The sequence below is a fragment of the Homo sapiens genome, chromosome 13 (genome assembly GCF_000001405.40).
Source record: "Homo sapiens chromosome 13, GRCh38.p14 Primary Assembly".
NCBI classification, from domain to species: Eukaryota; Metazoa; Chordata; class Mammalia; order Primates; family Hominidae; genus Homo; species Homo sapiens.
In genome coordinates, this window is record NC_000013.11 from 113,855,333 (window position 1) to 113,871,780 (window position 16,448).

At 49.4% G+C, this 16,448-nt stretch overlaps 1 protein-coding gene and 1 long non-coding RNA gene across 2 annotated transcripts in view, besides 5 other annotated features; one reads left to right on the forward strand and one right to left on the reverse strand.

The window, feature by feature from the left end:
• The window catches only part of GAS6 (growth arrest specific 6), a 43,528-nt gene extending 34,784 nt beyond the window's left edge, over positions 1 to 8,744 (reverse strand). Inside the window, exons 1-2 of the mRNA NM_000820.4 lie at positions 8,501 to 8,744; positions 8,243 to 8,409 (exon numbers count right to left, since the gene is read on the reverse strand). Of these exons, the coding sequence (NP_000811.1) occupies positions 8,243 to 8,409; positions 8,501 to 8,588 (255 nt within the window). The 5' untranslated portion in view covers positions 8,589 to 8,744. The remainder of the gene's footprint in view (positions 1 to 8,242; positions 8,410 to 8,500) is intronic.
• Positions 5,198 to 5,789: an enhancer, noted in NCBI's record as "H3K27ac-H3K4me1 hESC enhancer chr13:114563503-114564094 (GRCh37/hg19 assembly coordinates)". NCBI's record gives its function as "activates a minimal SCP1, AML or CMV promoter by ChIP-STARR-seq in naive H9 embryonic stem cells {active_cell/tissue: H9 hESC(naive)}" and the evidence as "EXISTENCE:reporter gene assay evidence [ECO:0000049][PMID:30033119]".
• Positions 7,768 to 7,817: a silencer, noted in NCBI's record as "silent region_5551". NCBI's record gives its function as "represses an Ori minimal core promoter by ATAC-STARR-seq in GM12878 lymphoblastoid cells {active_cell/tissue: GM12878}" and the evidence as "EXISTENCE:reporter gene assay evidence [ECO:0000049][PMID:35858748]".
• Positions 8,158 to 8,749: an enhancer, noted in NCBI's record as "H3K27ac-H3K4me1 hESC enhancer chr13:114566463-114567054 (GRCh37/hg19 assembly coordinates)". NCBI's record gives its function as "activates a minimal SCP1, AML or CMV promoter by ChIP-STARR-seq in naive H9 embryonic stem cells {active_cell/tissue: H9 hESC(naive)}" and the evidence as "EXISTENCE:reporter gene assay evidence [ECO:0000049][PMID:30033119]".
• Positions 8,298 to 8,357: a silencer, noted in NCBI's record as "silent region_5552". NCBI's record gives its function as "represses an Ori minimal core promoter by ATAC-STARR-seq in GM12878 lymphoblastoid cells {active_cell/tissue: GM12878}" and the evidence as "EXISTENCE:reporter gene assay evidence [ECO:0000049][PMID:35858748]".
• Positions 8,378 to 8,437: a silencer, noted in NCBI's record as "silent region_5553". NCBI's record gives its function as "represses an Ori minimal core promoter by ATAC-STARR-seq in GM12878 lymphoblastoid cells {active_cell/tissue: GM12878}" and the evidence as "EXISTENCE:reporter gene assay evidence [ECO:0000049][PMID:35858748]".
• Positions 8,845 to 11,500, forward strand: GAS6-DT (GAS6 divergent transcript). Its single transcript, NR_044993.1, has 2 exons — positions 8,845 to 8,963; positions 9,678 to 11,500. It is a non-coding gene; the product is annotated as a GAS6 divergent transcript (long non-coding RNA).

Sequence of the window (16,448 nt, forward strand, 5' to 3'; positions counted from 1 at the left end):
GACTGGTCCCTCAATAAGCTACCGGCCTCTGTTCACAGCAGCACAGGATGAGGATGCCTGGGTCTTGCCAGCCACCACGTTCTATGATCCCAGGACAAACACGATTGCAAAGTTCATGTGTGTTCCCGGCTTACAAATGGGGAGGTTTATTTACGGCCTCTCCGGATCCACGGGGAGCTGCTCCATGGGACGCTGGACAGCTCAGTTCCCTTGAAAGGATGGCTGCACCATCGAGCATGACTCAACCCAAAGATCCAACGCGCAGGGGCCTGGCAGGGACAGCTGTGCTTGGGACGCCGGTGTGCCACTGCCGCTTCTGCGCCGGGAGTCACGCCCCGGCCTCTCCCACTGGGCTCCCAGCCTGAGCTCTGCCCAGCTGGTGTAAGGACAGTAAAGGCAACCAGATGCCCTGACTGCGACCACCACCAATAGTCGCCAAGAGTGCACGCAAGCAGAAATCACAGATGCCCTGGCAGCTGCCTGAGGGACAGGCTTCTCCTCCAGCTTTATCCAAGTTGAGCTGGTCTTCGGCCAGACGACCAAGCTCAGGCCCCAAATTCACCTGGGTTGCTCTGAGGACTGGTGAGACTTAAAGGTCACTTGGACTCCTCCAGTGGCCGGGACACATGTCTCTCTAGTGGACTGGTTGCCTTCCGTGTTGTGAGGACCGGCCAGGCCTGCAGGTTGGTGCCTTCCTCTGGCCTCACTGAGCAGCAACACTCAAGTTCAAACACAAAACCACCATTTATGGTGGAGCCATGGGCTCTGTAGCCCAGCATGACGCACCTGGCAGACCATGTTCACGAGACTAATGCTCCGAGCCACTGACACACACCCAGCTCCCCGCAGCCGCCCTGTGCTTTATGCGCCCACACCAGCACCACTCAGCCCTCACATGGGTGCCAGTATGCTCACAGTCGCCTGCACACAGAGGAGCACACAGTGGGGCCGGGGGTGCTGCCGCGTCCTGCTCTCCCCCAGTCCCAGCGAGCACAGGAGTTAATGACAGAGTGTGGGGCTCAAATGCCCAGGACACACTGTAGCCCTCCACAGCCTCTCAGGGCCTCAGTTTCCACATCTGTAAAATGGCTCAGTGACAGCTGTTACACAGTTGTCATGAGGATGTAACAACTTCACACATGGAGACCCCGAGAACAGCACTCTCAGGAGGACCCGTGCACGATTCATCTTTCAGACTAACAGACGAGCTGAGCGACGGACGAGCTAAGTGATGGATCTGAGAACGGGAGTGATCGGGAAGTGAACAGTTTCATCATCTGCTGCTGCTATTCAATTGTCAGGGTTGAAATAAACGGAAAGCCAGCCTGCCCGTAAACACTGTCATGTATTTCCCACAAGTGTAAAAAGGAAGTGAACAGTATCTTCCAGGTGTGGTGGAGACAGTCCAGACACACCCAAAGCCCACTGCGCCTCCCTGAGAGCTCCCGCGTCCGGGCTGCCCTCATTTGGAGTGGGCAGGAATGCCACACCGCAGCCCTCTCTGCTTCTGCAGGGACGGTCAACTTAGCAATTCAGAAAAGAAACAATGTTGACTCAGAGAGTGGCCTTACTGTACTGTGGACAGTTGGTCCTGGATGGGAGCCAGTCCCAGCCTGGCCGAACGTTTGGCCTTTTTATGCTGAGAATCCAGCCACTGCAGTGACCGGCCCAGGCTCTCTGAGGGCTGGCTGGGTCAAGCTGTGTGTTTTCCATGGAGCCCCAAGTTCCAAGGGGAGGTAGTCACAAAACAGGGTCTAGCAGGTTTGTGGACAGATGTGGAGAAAATGTATTTTCTTATCATAGGCACTAACACTGGAAGGAAAAAAATTTCACCTATAATTTGAAAACGGAGCCCCAGAAAATTAGTAGAACATTAACAAGGCCCAATGCACTTTACTATTTCTTTTGAATATTATACTTTTAATCAACACCCGTCAGTCAGAGCAGAGAGTGCCTCTGTCAGAGTGAAAGGCAAAACTGATACTGTTCTTAACTTATTCCACTTCCAGCTCCCCTTTAAAATTTATTTTAAAACTTTTAAAATGAACCTTTCACTTGGCCAGGGTCAAAATTTACAAGGCGTACACACCAGGTTTGCAGTGAAATCACTGGAATATAAAAACCATGGAAGAGTCCAGAGCATTTCCAACATCAAATACGAAACCCTTAAACAAGCAGCTTTGCATTGGAGAAACAGCTCTCAGTTTTAACCTTAGAAAACAGGGGAAAATGAAGCATGAGGAAACCTGGATGCCTGTCAATCGCTCTGGGGTAAAGCCATAACCTGGGAAGTGCTCAGCATGCCCCAGCTAGCAAGCTTAACGCCCCTTTACTCAGAATCTCAAGAAAGAAGCCATAAGCACTTGCTTCCTAAAAGAGTGTTTTGTTCCTAAATAACAAAGGGAGACGTTCAGCGTTTCTCAAAACGTCTTTAATTAGAGTTTTCCACAGATGTGAAGCTCTCCGGCTCGGGTGAGGGTGTCGTGTGCAGGGCCTGGCACTCGGCTGCCTCTGAGAAAGCCCCGGAGGAGCCTGGCACCAAGTGCCTGCAGACGCCCGGGTGAAAACAAGCATCTGCACAGGTGCGGGCACAGGAGAGGGCTGCGGAGCCAGCACGGAAGACGGCCCTCAGAGGAGGCCGGGCCGGGGTCCACCTGCAGGCCTCAGGATGGGCCCAGGAGGAAAGGCCTTGGCCACAGGGCTCCGGCCCCTCAGGCAGGGGGCTCTGGGAGTGGAGAGACCCTGGGGGTCTGAGGAAGCTGGGGCCACAGAGCCCCGTGACCTTGTGTCACTTTTTAGTGATCCTGCTGCAGCTGTCAGTGGTCTTCTGACCCCAAAGTTGTAGAAAGAGAAAAGTGTGTGAGAGGGTGCACATGTGTCTGTGTGTGTCTGCATGCATGTGGCTGGGCATCCATGTGTGCCTGTGTGTGTATATGTGTCTATTTATGTGACTGTGTGTACATGTGTGCATATTATGCATGTGTGTACATGTCTGTCAGTGTATGACTGTGTACGTATGTCTATGTGAATGTGTGCATGTGTGTGCATGTCTGTCAGTGTGTGTGACTGTGTGTTTACATATGTCTATGTGAATGTGTGCATGTGTACATGTCTGCTAGTATGTGCCTTTGTGTGTGCATGTCTGTGTGCCTATGTATGCATGTCTGTGTGTGACTATGTACATCTATGTGAATGTGTGCATGTCTGTGTACGTCTGCTAGTATGTGCCTTTGTGTGTGCATGTCTGTGTGTGACTGTGTACGTATGTGTACATGTCTGTGTGTGCCTATGTATGCATGTCTGTGTGTTTGTGACTGTATGTGTACATGTCTGTGTGTGCCTATGTATGCATGTCTGTGTGTGTGACTGTGTATGTACATCTATGTGAATGTGTGCATGTATGTGTACATGTCTGTTAGTATGTGTGTGCGTGTCATTATGCATGTGTGTACATGTCTGTGACTGTATGTATGTCTATGTGAATGTGTGCATGTATGTGTACATGTCTGTTAGTATGTGTGTCATTATGCATGTGTGTACATGACTATGTAAGTCTATGTGAATGTGTGCATGTATGTGTACATGTCTGTTAGTATGTGTGTGCGTGTCATGCATGTGTGTACATGTCTGTGTGACTGTATGTCTATATGAATGTGTGCATGTATGTATACATGTCTGTTAGTATGTGTGCCTTGTATGTGCATGTCTGGACAGTGTGTGACTGTGTGTACGTATGTCTATGTGAATGTGTGCATGTATGTGTGTGCATGTCTGTCAGTGTGTGGCTGTGTGCTTACATATGTCTATGTGAATGTGTGCATGTATGTGTACATGTCTGCTAGTATGTGCCTTTGTGTGTGCATGTCTGTGTGTGTGACTGTGTACGTATGTGTACATGTCTGTGTGTGCCTATGTATGCATGTCTGTGTGACTGTGTAGGTACATCTATGTGAATGTGTGCATGTATGTGTACATGTCTGTTAGTATGTGTGTGCATGTCATTATGCATGTGTACATGTCTGTGTGACTGTATGTCTATGTGAATGTGTGCATGTATGTATACATGTCTGTTAGTATGTGTGTGCCTTGTATGTGCATGTCTGGACAGTGTGTGACTGTGTGTACGTATGTCTATGTGAATGTGTGCATGTATGTGTACATGTCTGTTAGTATGTGTGTGTGCCTGTTTATGTGTGTGCATGTCTGTCAGTGTGTGTGTGTACGTATATCTATGTGAATGTGTGCATACGTATGTACATGTCTGTTAGTATGTGTGTGCCTGTGTGTGTGCATGTATATCTGTGTCTATGGGAACATATGTACATGTGTGCATGTGTCTAGGTAGGGGTGTGTGTGTCCCTGCACACCTGTATCCATGAGTCAGCACCTATCTGTGCTGGTGTCCATGTGTGAATGTGTGTGCATGTGTCTGTGTGTGGGAGTGTGCTGCAGCCTCTGTCAAGGCAGGGCAGGGGAGGTCTCAGCCTGGCCATCACCTTCCCCACCAGGCGCCCCCACATTGTACAGCCCTCCCCTCCAACAGGGACCTCCCTTTAGGCCATCCCAACATCTGGGCCTGTGTCCCAGCCAAGTGGCTGTTCCCAAGTGGGGACTCAGAGGGGTTTTCATTTCCATAAAGGGTACCCCTTCCCCAGCTGTTCCCAAAGAATCCACAAGGTCAGGGAAAAGGTGCTTGGAGGGCACATGCAGTTCAGGATGAGCCAGCAAGTTTGAAAACGGATGCACCAACATCCCATGCGGAGAATTCCTCACCACCAGCAGTGGGGAGAAGAGAGAGACTGGGACAGAGAGAGAAACACAGAGGGAGACAAAGAAAGAGATGGGGGAAGGGAAACCTGGCCTCGGAGCACAGGCCTGGCCACATGTCGTGCAGGTGCGGGTACAGGTGCAGGTTGCTAATCCAGGCCAACCCTCAGGGAAGGCCACCAGCCCTCGGTGAATATTGTGCTTTGTATCTCAGATAAAGCCAGGTGATGGGATCAGGAACCACAGCCTGGATGATTTTCCGGCAGGCAGGCCGGGGATCAAAGTGCACAAACAGGCTCCCAGGCAGGCACCGGAGGACCTGGGCAGTAGGGCTGGGCTGGGATAAGTCTCTAGTCTCGGATCATTTCTGGAATCAAGGGGTGATTATGGAGACCTCAGCAGGCCCTGGAACCTGATGGCCTTCGAGGATTTAGTAAAAAGTCACTGGGCCTGGGAAGCTTTAGCAGAGACACTGTGGGGAGTTACCCAGTCTTCTCTGAATTAGAAACTCGGGCAAGGAACCCAGCAGGGAGAGGCAAGGCCAGGGAGGGAGAACAACAATATAAAAAGGAAAACAAGATAAGGAGAAGGTCTGGGCGGTGGAGAGCAAGGAGGCATGTGGGGGTGGCCCAGCCTGGAGGAATGTCGGGGGAGGGGCACGGCTCCAGCAGAGAGGGCTGGGGAGGTGGGAGGAGTGTCCCTTCCAGCAGAACAGGGCTTGAAACCACAGGTGTGTGGGGAGGGCCAGAGCCTGGGAGGGGTGCTGGGCTTAGTATCCGCCTGCTGGAAGGTGGGGGTCTGCAGAGCAGGCACTTCCCTCACAACCAGGAAGCAGCCCCAGCTTGGGGCAGTGGGACACGCTTCAGGCAGGTGAGCAGGTGGCCAGGTGGGCACAGAGGTTAGCACACAAGTGAGCCTGGAGCCTGGGAGGGGTGCCGGGCTTAGTATCTGCCTGCTGGAAGGGCTGCACAGCGGGTGCTTCCGGGAAGAAGGCGCAACCAGGAAGATGCCCCAGCAAGGGGCAGTGGGACACACTTCGGGCAGGTTAGCAGTTTAGCAGGTGGACATGAAGGTGAGCACACTGGAGAGCTGGCTCCAGCTGTCCCTTCCCTCCCTCGTAGGAGCCTGCCCAGGGGAAACAGCCAGGGCTGGGTAGGTGCGTGTTAACTAACGGCGGCCAGGCACTTCCCACATCCTAAAATGGCAGGGGGCTGGGACCACCTTCCCTACAACCACCCGTGGAGGACCACACATCAGGATCCTGGGCCTGGGGAGGCCAGGGACCCAAGGATGCTCTGACAGTCACCATGGCCAGGTCCTGGTCACCTCTTGAGCTCAGGCCACAGCCCTTTTCCTCAATCAGCCGCACTGCACAAAATGTAAAGTGAGCAACATTTCAAAGACAAGGAGCCCCTGGCCTTTGACAGGGAGAAGTTCATGGATGATTTTCATGCATTAGCAGGAAGTTGTGCTTGGACAGTCCCCTCGGGCCTGGGGTCTCCCAAGAGTGTGGCAGAGGATGCAGTGGAGACTAGGGTCCTGGGAGGGGTGGGCCTGGTGTGCTGGAGCCGGCTGGGACTCAAGCCAGCCTCTGGACCCTGCCCCTGCCCCTGCCCCAACCAGGCTGTCCCCAGCATCCACCTGCCGGCAGGAACCGGAAACAGAAACAGAAACAGACAGCAAGCTAATGGCCAGATCCAAAAACCAGAGGGAAAGCGGGTTGTTATCATTTGGCATGGGGGCTGGGAAGGAGGGCAGAACGCTGGGAACTGAGATGACGCTGAAAAGAAGCCGACAGAGGCTGCTGGGGCCAGGCTGTGAGAGGATGGGAGGGATGCCTCCCGGGCACCAAAGCCACTCAGCCACATGCAGGAGGGTGAGGAGATGAACATGCCAGCACAGAAACCATGTGACGCAACCGCAGTTGTATTAAAGTGATGGGGTCCTGAGTGCTGTTTTCATTTTCTTATCTTCATTTCACACCTTTGTAAATAAAGTTATTAAATTAAAATTGGAAAACCAGGTAGGGGACTGACTTGGGAAGAACAGCACAGTACATCCAGGCAGCGTCCAGTCTGATTGACATGGGCCCTGCAGGTCCTGGAGGACAGCGAGGAGGGGCTGCGGCCAGGCCTTGCAGGGCTGCGCGGAGCGGGTACTGTGGGGTGGGGGTGACCCTGCTGCCCTCAACTCCCATCACCAGCACGCCCCATGCCACAGTCCCTGTGCACGCAGAATGTTCCGGGTGAGGACGCTGTTGGAGGACACTGCACCAGCCACACGACCAACCCCACAGCTGGGCGGCGACTCCGAGCGACCAGGGCACACAGGCCCACCTGCCTCAGCCAGCAGCACAGGCCAGGATTCATCATTAAAGAAACAGGAAAACAGAGAGGCCGGGGAGAGCGACCAAGCTAGGCTGAGCTGAAGGAGGGCACGGGCCTGTGGGGCTGTGGGCAGCCCCCGGGCAACAGCCCCAGGTGCGTCATCTCTGCAGGGATGAGCTATGTCCACAAGTGCACAGTGGCCATCTGACAGCCTCAGAGCTTTCAGAAAGGCAGATCTAAGAGGGGTCAAGTCAACCACTAGAAATGTAAGCGGAAACAGGCCTCCATGGTTCATCCAGAACCACTCTTTCATCCCGGGTGACATTTATTCCACCCCAGGAGAATTCTTTAAAAGGAACATTCCAGCAGAACGGAAAACTTCGCTATGAAATCACCCTGACTTCAGGGCGGGAGGGACGTCAACGGGAATCCACACCTTCTCGGACTTTCCAAAGTCACCCGCTCCCGAGCCCGCAGGATAGAGTGGCCAGGCCGTCCTCACACGGCGGCTCCTGCGGGAGGCGGCCCCGGGCGCCCCGCCTTCTCCAAGGACATTCCTAACCGAGGTGCCGGGGCCAGCACCGTCGGGCTCCTGAAAGCACCCGCTGCCTCCAGGAGAGCACCTGGCAGAACGGGGCCGCGGAGCCGCCCTCCCCTCCCGCATGCGGCCCCGCTCGATTCCTGGAATCTTATTTTTGGACCTGCTGCCGCAAGCAGTTCCCGCCCTCGGCCCTTTCAATTCCTCTTTCGGGAGGGGACTGCTCTCCACCCCTCTCAGGAGGACGAGGCGCGGCCCGGGGGTTCCTCACCTCCAGCCCAGCAGAGGGAGGGCCGCGGGGAAGCGGTTTGGGTTTTAACCATTGTGTTTCTCTCGCACTTTGGAAACGGACTCCCGGCTTCCCCGCGGGGAGGCGTCTGACAGCGAGCGTTTCCCGGACAGCCCCGCAGCGTCTCACCGGCCTGCGCGGGGATCCCGGGGTCGCCGGGGGATGGGCGTGGGGGACGCGGGGCGGGCCGGGGCTCCTGGGACCCTGAGGCCAGGCCTCGCCGCGCGGAGCTGGGGGGCGGCAGCAGCGCTGCCTCTCGGGAGCGGTTGGAGGCGCGCGGGCGCCAGGGGTTCCCCCGCATCCCGCCCGCCGGCTGCTCACCGTCTCGGGGTCGTTCTCGAACACCTCCCGCGCCTCCTCGCGGCTGCACAGCTCCTCCACGCACTCCCTCTCCAGGTGGCCCTGCTTGGCCTCCTCGAAGACCTGAAAGGCGCGGCGCTGCCTGGGCCGCAGGAACTGCGTGGCCTCGCGCGCCGGCAACAGCGCGGCTGCCCGGAGGGAGAGAGGGGGACGCGTCAAGCCGCGCCCGGAGCCTCCTCCCGCCGCCCGGGGACGGGGTCTCGGGCCCGCGGGACTCACCAAGCGCGCACTCCGCGGCCAGCAGCAGCAGCAGCAGCTGCGGCGCGCGGCGCAGGGCGGCGGGCCCGGGCGAGAGCGAAGGGGCCATGGCGGGCCGGGGACGCGCGGTCAGAGCGCCCGGGAGGCCGAGGCGAGCCGCGGGCGCCGCGGGGCGGAGGCTCCGGTCATCCCGTCCTGGCGGCCCTGAAGGTCACATCGCGGCGGCGGCGGCGGCGGCGGCTGCGGCACCTCAAGCGCTCGGTCTGGGCGTGTTCGGGCGGCTGCGCGCGGGGAGGCGGCGGGGGCGGGACCAGCGCGCGGGCGGGGCGCGGGTTCCCGGGAGGATCCGGGCGCGGGGAAAGCGGAGCGTCCGGGACGCGGCGGGACTCGAGTGTTTCGGAAAAGGAGCGTCTCCCCAGGCGGTGGTTGTCTTCACTAGCGATGGGGTAAAAGGAGGACGCAATACCTGGTTCAACTTGAGCAGGTACATTTTGACCATATTCCAGGTGTCATGTGAAGATTTAAGCCTCTTTCCAACCCCCACTCCCCCCGAATCTACTGCATCCTTTTTGGAGTCTTCATTCTTAGGCACATTTTGTCAAGACTTAAAACCTACCAAAGAAAAGATACACTGAGGTCAGATCCAATCCCACTGGGGGCCAGCGAGTGAAATGCGACGGTTTCCTTTTATAATCTCTGTTTTTCATAATGATGACATTAAAAATCTTGAGGTTTCCCAGTAGATATTTAAGCTGAAAGCAACATTGTGCTTGTCTTCAGAGACCAAGACTTTCTGGCTCTTGTCTTGGAATATTTCGCAAAGTCATAGGCAAAACACACACAAACAAACAGAACCAAAACACAGCAGACCACTCACGGGGGACCGAACCAGGCAGTTAGCCCAGCATCCCCCTGCTGCGGGAGGAGGGAGCTTGGATACTCCTCTCTGGAGAATCCTGCTCTGGAAATCCCCACACCCCAAAATGCAATGTAGAGGGGCAGTGAGTCAGCACCTCACCCCAAATGAATGGCCGTTCTGCTCAGCAGGCTCAACGCTTAGATCCCCAGATCCAGTTTCTCTTTGCTTTCTGTAATTGGAAGAATGGAATAGGATTGCTGCTAGAAATCTTTGAGGTCACTGGTTTGAAAGTGGGATTATGAGCATGAATTTTTGTTGTTGTTGTTTGTTTGTTTTCAGACGGAGTCTCGCTATGTTGCCCAGGCTGGGGTGCAGTGGCGTGATCTCTGCTCACTGCAAGCTCCGCCTCCCGGGTTCACGCCATTCTCCTGCCTCAGCCTCCCGAGTAGCTGGGACCACAGGCGCCCGCCACCACGCCCGGCTGATTTTTTTTATTTTTAGTAGAGACGGGGTTTCACCGTGTTAGCCAGGATGATCTCAATCTCCTGACCTCGTGATCCGCCCGCCTGGGCCTCCCAAAGTGCTGGGATTACAGGTGTGAGCCACCGCGCCTGGCCGAGCATGTTAATTTAAGCAAATGAATGTCCCTGGGAATGATCTTCAAGGAGAATTAAAGTGGGATAGAGAAGTCATCTATCTGCACCTGTGTCTGAACCAGAATGACGAGGCACTTCCATGTCAGCTAGTTACTGGAGCAGGCGGAGTAAGGAGTACCCCTGGGCTTCTGCCCCGAAACCACCACGGCTACTTCAAAACAATATTACATTAATTTTCCTGCTTGTTCTTGAGAAGCACTGGTTTGAAAAATTGGATGGGGTGATACATGTTTTAATCAGTATTTACAAGGCTCCTTAATCACTTCATCAGACAATTCATTGAGCACCTACTATGTGCCAGGCAGTGTAATTCATTGAGCACCTGCTGTGTGCCAGGCAGTGTCTGAGGCACTTCTAGCTATTATTTCCTAAGGGTTCCAGCAGCCCATGGATAAACTTCAAAGAGTGTAAGCTCCTAAAAATTGTTCGTATTTTCTGCACATTTTTGTAGTTTTGGAGAAGAGAGTTAATGGAGTTCTTGCCATTCTCAGAATTATTTGATCCCTTTAGGAATGAGCATCTCTAGCCTCTGCCTGTTCATCTGGGACAATCTGCACCTGGGCGTGGACCTGCTGCTTCAGATCAGTAGGTATCAGAATGAACTCAGTTGGATGGGGCAGTTCAGGACCCCTGGCCTCCTTTTAGTCTGGACCCCACTCTCATTCCTCATATTCTCAATTCACTCTTTCTACTGAGTTACTATCCTAGTAATGACAATGCCTCCTATCATCTAGAGACTTGGTTTGATACAATGCATTCACATACAACTGCTCGTTTTGATTTCTATAACTGGGGAATACAGAAAGCAAATATGCGGTGCAATGGAGGATGTCTCCATTACCCCAGATAACTCCAAAATTCTTCACCTAGTTACCAGTGCAGGAAATTCGTTCGAAGGCAGAAATGGAAAATGAATAAGAAACAATTTGGATGTGTTCCAAAAATGGAGAGTTGTCAGGCACTATATCATACAACCTGAAATATCAATGGTGAAGTAGACAGTTCACCTCCACAGGGGGCAGGAGGTTGGACCCAGGGCAATGGATGTTTTATATGGATGGTTAACCGGTCTGTGGCCATGAGGTGGAAAGCTGTGTACACCTGTGAAGCCATCATCACAATCAAGTTAGGGAACATATCCATCACCCAAAAAAGTGTTCTCATGCCCTTTGGTAATTCCTCCCTCCTAAATGTCCCCACCCTACCCCACATCCCAGTTTCTATGCAAAAACCGCTGACCAACTTTCTATCACTATAGATTTGTTTGTATTTTCTAGACTTTTATATAAAAAGAATTATACTGTATGTACACTTTTTTGTCTGTTTTTTTCACTTAACATATTTATTTTCAGAATCATCTATCTTGTTGCAGGTGTATTCCTTTTTATTGCTCAGTAGTATTCCACTGTATGGATATAACACAATTTGTTTATCATTCACCTGTTGAGGGACATTATACTTGCTTCTAAATTTTTACTATCACAAATAAAGCTGCTGTAGGCATTCATGTGTGTGTCCATCGTGTGGACATTGTGTGCACACGTGCTTCCATTTCTCTTGGGGAAATATCTAGGAGCAGAGTGTCTGGATCCCATAGTAGGTATTTGTTTAACTTTTTAAACTGTTTTTCAAAGTGGTTATACTGTTTTTCATTTTCACCATCAATGCATGAGGGTCCCAGTTGCTCCACATCCCCACCCATACTTTCTGTGGTCACTTTAAAAATTTTTAGCCGCCCCGTCCGGGAGGGAGGTGGGGGGGTCAGCCCCCCGCCCGGCCAGCCGCCCCGTCCGGGAGGTGAGGGGCACCTCTGCCCGGCCGCCCCTACTGGGAAGTGAGGAGGCCCTCTGCCCGACCACCACCCCGTCTGGGAGGTGTACCCAACAGCTCATTGAGAACGGGCCATGATGACAATGGCGGTTTTGGGGAATAGAAAGGGGGGAAAGGTGGGGAAAAGATTGAGAAATCGGATGGTTGCCGTGTCTGTGTAGAAAGAGGTAGACATGGGAGACTTTTCATTTTGTTCTGTACTAAGAAAAATTCTTCTGCCTTGGGATCCTGTTGATCTGTGACCTTACCCCCAACCCTGTGCTCTCTGAAACATGTGCTGTGTCCACTCAGGGTTAAATGGATTAAGGGCGGTGCAAGATGTGCTTTGTTAAACAGATGCTTGAAGGCAGCATGCTTGTTAAGAGTCATCACCACTCCCTAATCTCAAGTATCCAGGGACACAAACACTGCGGAAGGCCGCAGGGTCCTCTGCCTAGGAAAACCAGAGACCTTTGTTCACTTGTTTATCTGCTGACCTTCCCTCCACTATTGTCCTGTGACCCTGCCAAATCCCCCTCTGCGAGAAACACCCAAGAATGATCAATAAAAAAATAAAAATAAAAAAAGAAACCCTACACTCCACTGAAAAAAAAAATTTTACTCACTCTAATATGTATATAATGGTATTTCATTGTAGTTTAAATTTGCATTTTTCAAATAACTAGTGATGTTGAACAAATTTTATTGTACTTATTGCCATCCAGATATCTTCTTTGGTGAAATGTCTGTTTCAGTTTTACTTTCTTTCTTTTCCTTTACTTGGTGATATGGTTTGGCTGTGTCCCCACCGAAATCTCATCTTGACTTCCCACATGTTATGGGAAGGACCTGGTGAGAGGTAATTGAATCATGGGGGCAAGTCTTTCCCATGCTGTTGTCATGATAGTGAATAAGTCTTACAAGATCTGATGGTTTTAAAAAGAGGAATTCCCCTGCACAAGCTCTCTGTCTTTGCTTTCTGCCATCTGTGTAAGACGTGACTTGCTCCTCCTTACCTTCTGCCATGATTGTGAGGCTTCCCCAGCCACGTGGAACTGTGAGTCCAGTTAAACCTCTTTCCTTTGTAAACTGCCCAGTCTCAGGTATGTCTTTATCGGCAGCGTGAAAATTGACTAATACACTTGGGATGTTTGGTTTTCCAATTGTTGAGCTGTTTGTTGAGTTTTAAGAGTTCTATAACTATTCTAGAAGCAAGTCCATTATCAGATGTGTGGTTTGCAAATATTTATTTCCAGTCTGCGGCTTGTCTTTTCATTCTATTAAATGTGTCTTTAGCCAGGCATGGTAGTGGGTGCCTGTAGCTTCAGCTACTTGAGAGGCTGAGGCAGGAGGATTTCTTGAGCCCAGGAGTTTAAGCCTGGTCTGCACAATAGAGCAAGACTCTGTCTCCAAGATAAAAAGAAATTAAAGTGTCTTTCAAAGATCAGAATTCTTAATTTTGAAGTGCAGCTTATTTTCTTTAATGGATTCTGCTTTTGGTGTCACATTTGCCTAACTCAAGGTCACAAAGATTTTATTACAGAAGTTCTGTAGATTTCAGTTTTACATTTAAGATGGTGATCCATTTTGAATGAGTTTTTATAAATGCTGAAGTATGAAACAAAGTGTGTATCTGTACGTATGTGCCTAGGGAAATGCAATCATCCCAGCACTGTTAAAAAGACTATTCTTTCTCCACTGACTTGCCTTTGCACCTTTGTCAATAACCAATTGATAATATATGTGCAAATCTATTTGTAGACTCTGTTCTGTCCCATTTATTTGTTTGTCTCTTTTTAAAGTTAATACCACACTGTCTTGACTATAGTAGATTCATAACAAGAATTGAAGTCAGGTAATGTAAATACTCAGGTAGTGTAAATACTCAAACGTTCTTCTTTCTCAAAGTGTGCAGTTGTTTGGTTATTCTGTTTTCTTTGCATCTACATATGAATATTAGAATCAGCTGGTCATTCTTTACAAAAAGCCTGCCAAGATTTTAATTGAGATTGCATTAAATCTATAGGTCAATTTTTAGGCAATGAACAGTTTGACAGTATTGAGGCTTCTGATATGTGAACGCGGTATATCTTTCATTTATTTAAGTCTTCTTAAATTATCTCCACAGTCTTTCATAGTATTCAATGTACAGGCCTGATATATATGTTATTAGATTTGTTTCTAAATATTTCACTTTCTTTGTCCTATTGTAAATGGCATTATTTATTTATTTATTTATTGAGACAAGATCTCACTCTGTCACTGAGGCTGCAGTGCAGTGACGCAATCTCAGCCCACTGCAACCTCTGCCCCCCAGACTCAAGTGATCCTGCCACGTAGCTGGGACTACAGGCATGCGCCACCATGCCTGGCTAATTTTTTGTATTTTTTGTAGAGATGGGCTTTTGCCGTGTTGTTCAGGCTGGTCTTGAATTCCTGGCCTCAAGCAACCCACCCCCCTTAGCTTCCCAAACTGCTGGGATGACAAGTGTGAGCCACTACATCTGGCCTTTGGCATTGTTTTTCATTTCAATCTCTAATTGTTTAAACATTTGATTTTTGTGTATTTATCTTGTATCACACAACTTTGCTTAATTCAATTATTCTGATTTTTTTGTAGCTTCAGTAGAATTTTTCTTACATAGATAATCATGCTGTTTGTAAATATAGACACTTTTACTTCCTCCTTTCAAATCTGGGTGCTATTTAATTCTTTTCTGTCTGATTGCACTGCCTAATAACCTCCCATGCAATGTTGACTAGAAATGGAGACAGTGTGTACCCTTGTGTTGTTCCTGATCCTATGTGAAAATAATCCAGTCTTTCACCATTAAATATAATGTTAGCTGTAGGCTTTTCATAGATTCTCTTTATCAGGTTGAGGAAGTTCTCTTCTATTTCTAGCTTCCTGCAAATTATGTTTTAAAAATTAGGAATGTGTATTAAATATTATCAAAGTTTTCTTCTGCATCTATTCTATTGAGATGATCATATGGGTTTTTTTATTCATTAATATGTGAATTATCTTGATTGATTTTTGAATGTTAAATCAATCTTGTGTCCCTGAAATAATCCTAACCCCACTTGGTCATGATATATCATAGTTTTAAATTATTGATGAATTCAATTTGCAAAAACATGTTAAGAATATTTACATTGATGTTTATGAGGGTACTGATCTGTTGTTTTCTTTCTTTGTCTGGTTTGATATCTAAGAAATGTTGGCCTCATAGAATTGTTAAGTGTTTCTTCCGCTTTAATTTTATGGAAGTGTTTGTGTAGAATTGGTCTTATTTCTTCCTTAGATGATTGGCAAAAATCACAATGATGCCATCAGGACCTATAGTTTTCTTTGTGGGGAGGTTTTTACCTATAAATGTAATTTCTTTAATATATATTCTTTAAGGCTGGGTACGGTGGCTCACGCCTGTAATCCTAGCACTTTGGGAGGCCGAGTTGGGTGGATCACTTGAGGTCAGGAGTTTGAAACCAGCCTGGCCAACATGGTGAAACCCTGTCTCTACTAAAAATACAAAAAAATTAGCCAGGCATGGTGGCGGGCACCTGTAATCCCAGCTACTTGGGAGGCTGAGGCAGGATAATTGCTTGAACCCTGGAGGTGGAGGTTGCAGTGAGCTGAGATTGTGCCACTGCACTCCAGCCTGGGCGACAGAGTAAGACTCTGTTTCTATATATACTTTAATAGATAGTCTATTTCTTTTTTATTGGCTTTGGTAGTTTGTTTTTTTGGGGAAGTTTTCCCATTGTATCCAAGTTGTTTACTGTGCTAACATAAAGCTGCTCATAATAGTTTCTCAACACTCTTTGTTGTTGTTGTTTGAGACAGAGTCTCGCTCTGTCACCCAGGCTGGAGTGCAGTGGAGTGATCTTGGCTCACTGCAATCTCTGCCTCCCAGCTTCAAGCAATTCTCCCGCCTCAGCCTCCTGAGTAGCTGGGACTACAGGTGTGTGCCACTATAGCTGGCTAATTTTTGTATTTTTAGTAGAGACGAGGTTTCACCATGTTAGCCAGGCTGGTCTCGAACTCCTGACCTCAAGTGATTCACCCGTCTTGGCCTCCCAAAGTGCTGGGATTATAGGCATGAGCCACCTCGGCTAGCCCCTCAATACTCTTTGAATCTCTGTAGATCTGTATTAATGACACCTCTCTTGATAGTGACAATTTGTCTTTTTATTTAATTTTTTGTCATGGTCATTCTGGCTGGAGATTCAACAAGTTTATTGATCTCAAATAACTAGCTTTTGGGTTTATCGATTTTTCTCTATTTTCTGTATTATTTGTCATTTTTTATTTTCTCATTATACAATTTTTATAATGTTCTTTCTTCTGCCCACAGAAGAAAAATGAAATAAAAATGAAATAAAGTGTGTTTCATTTGCTCTTCTTTATTCAGTTTCTTAAGTAGAAAGCTGAGGTCATTTATTCGAGATCTTCCTTCTTTTCTAATGTAGATGTTTATGCTAGAAATTTTCCTTAAAGCCGTGCTTTAGCTGTATCCTACACATTTTAAATCCCACACTTAAGTGAGTCATTTCCATTCAGTTCAGAATACTTTATAATTTTCCTTTTGATATCTTCATTGACCCATGGATTATTTAGAACTGTGTTATTTAGTTTCCAACA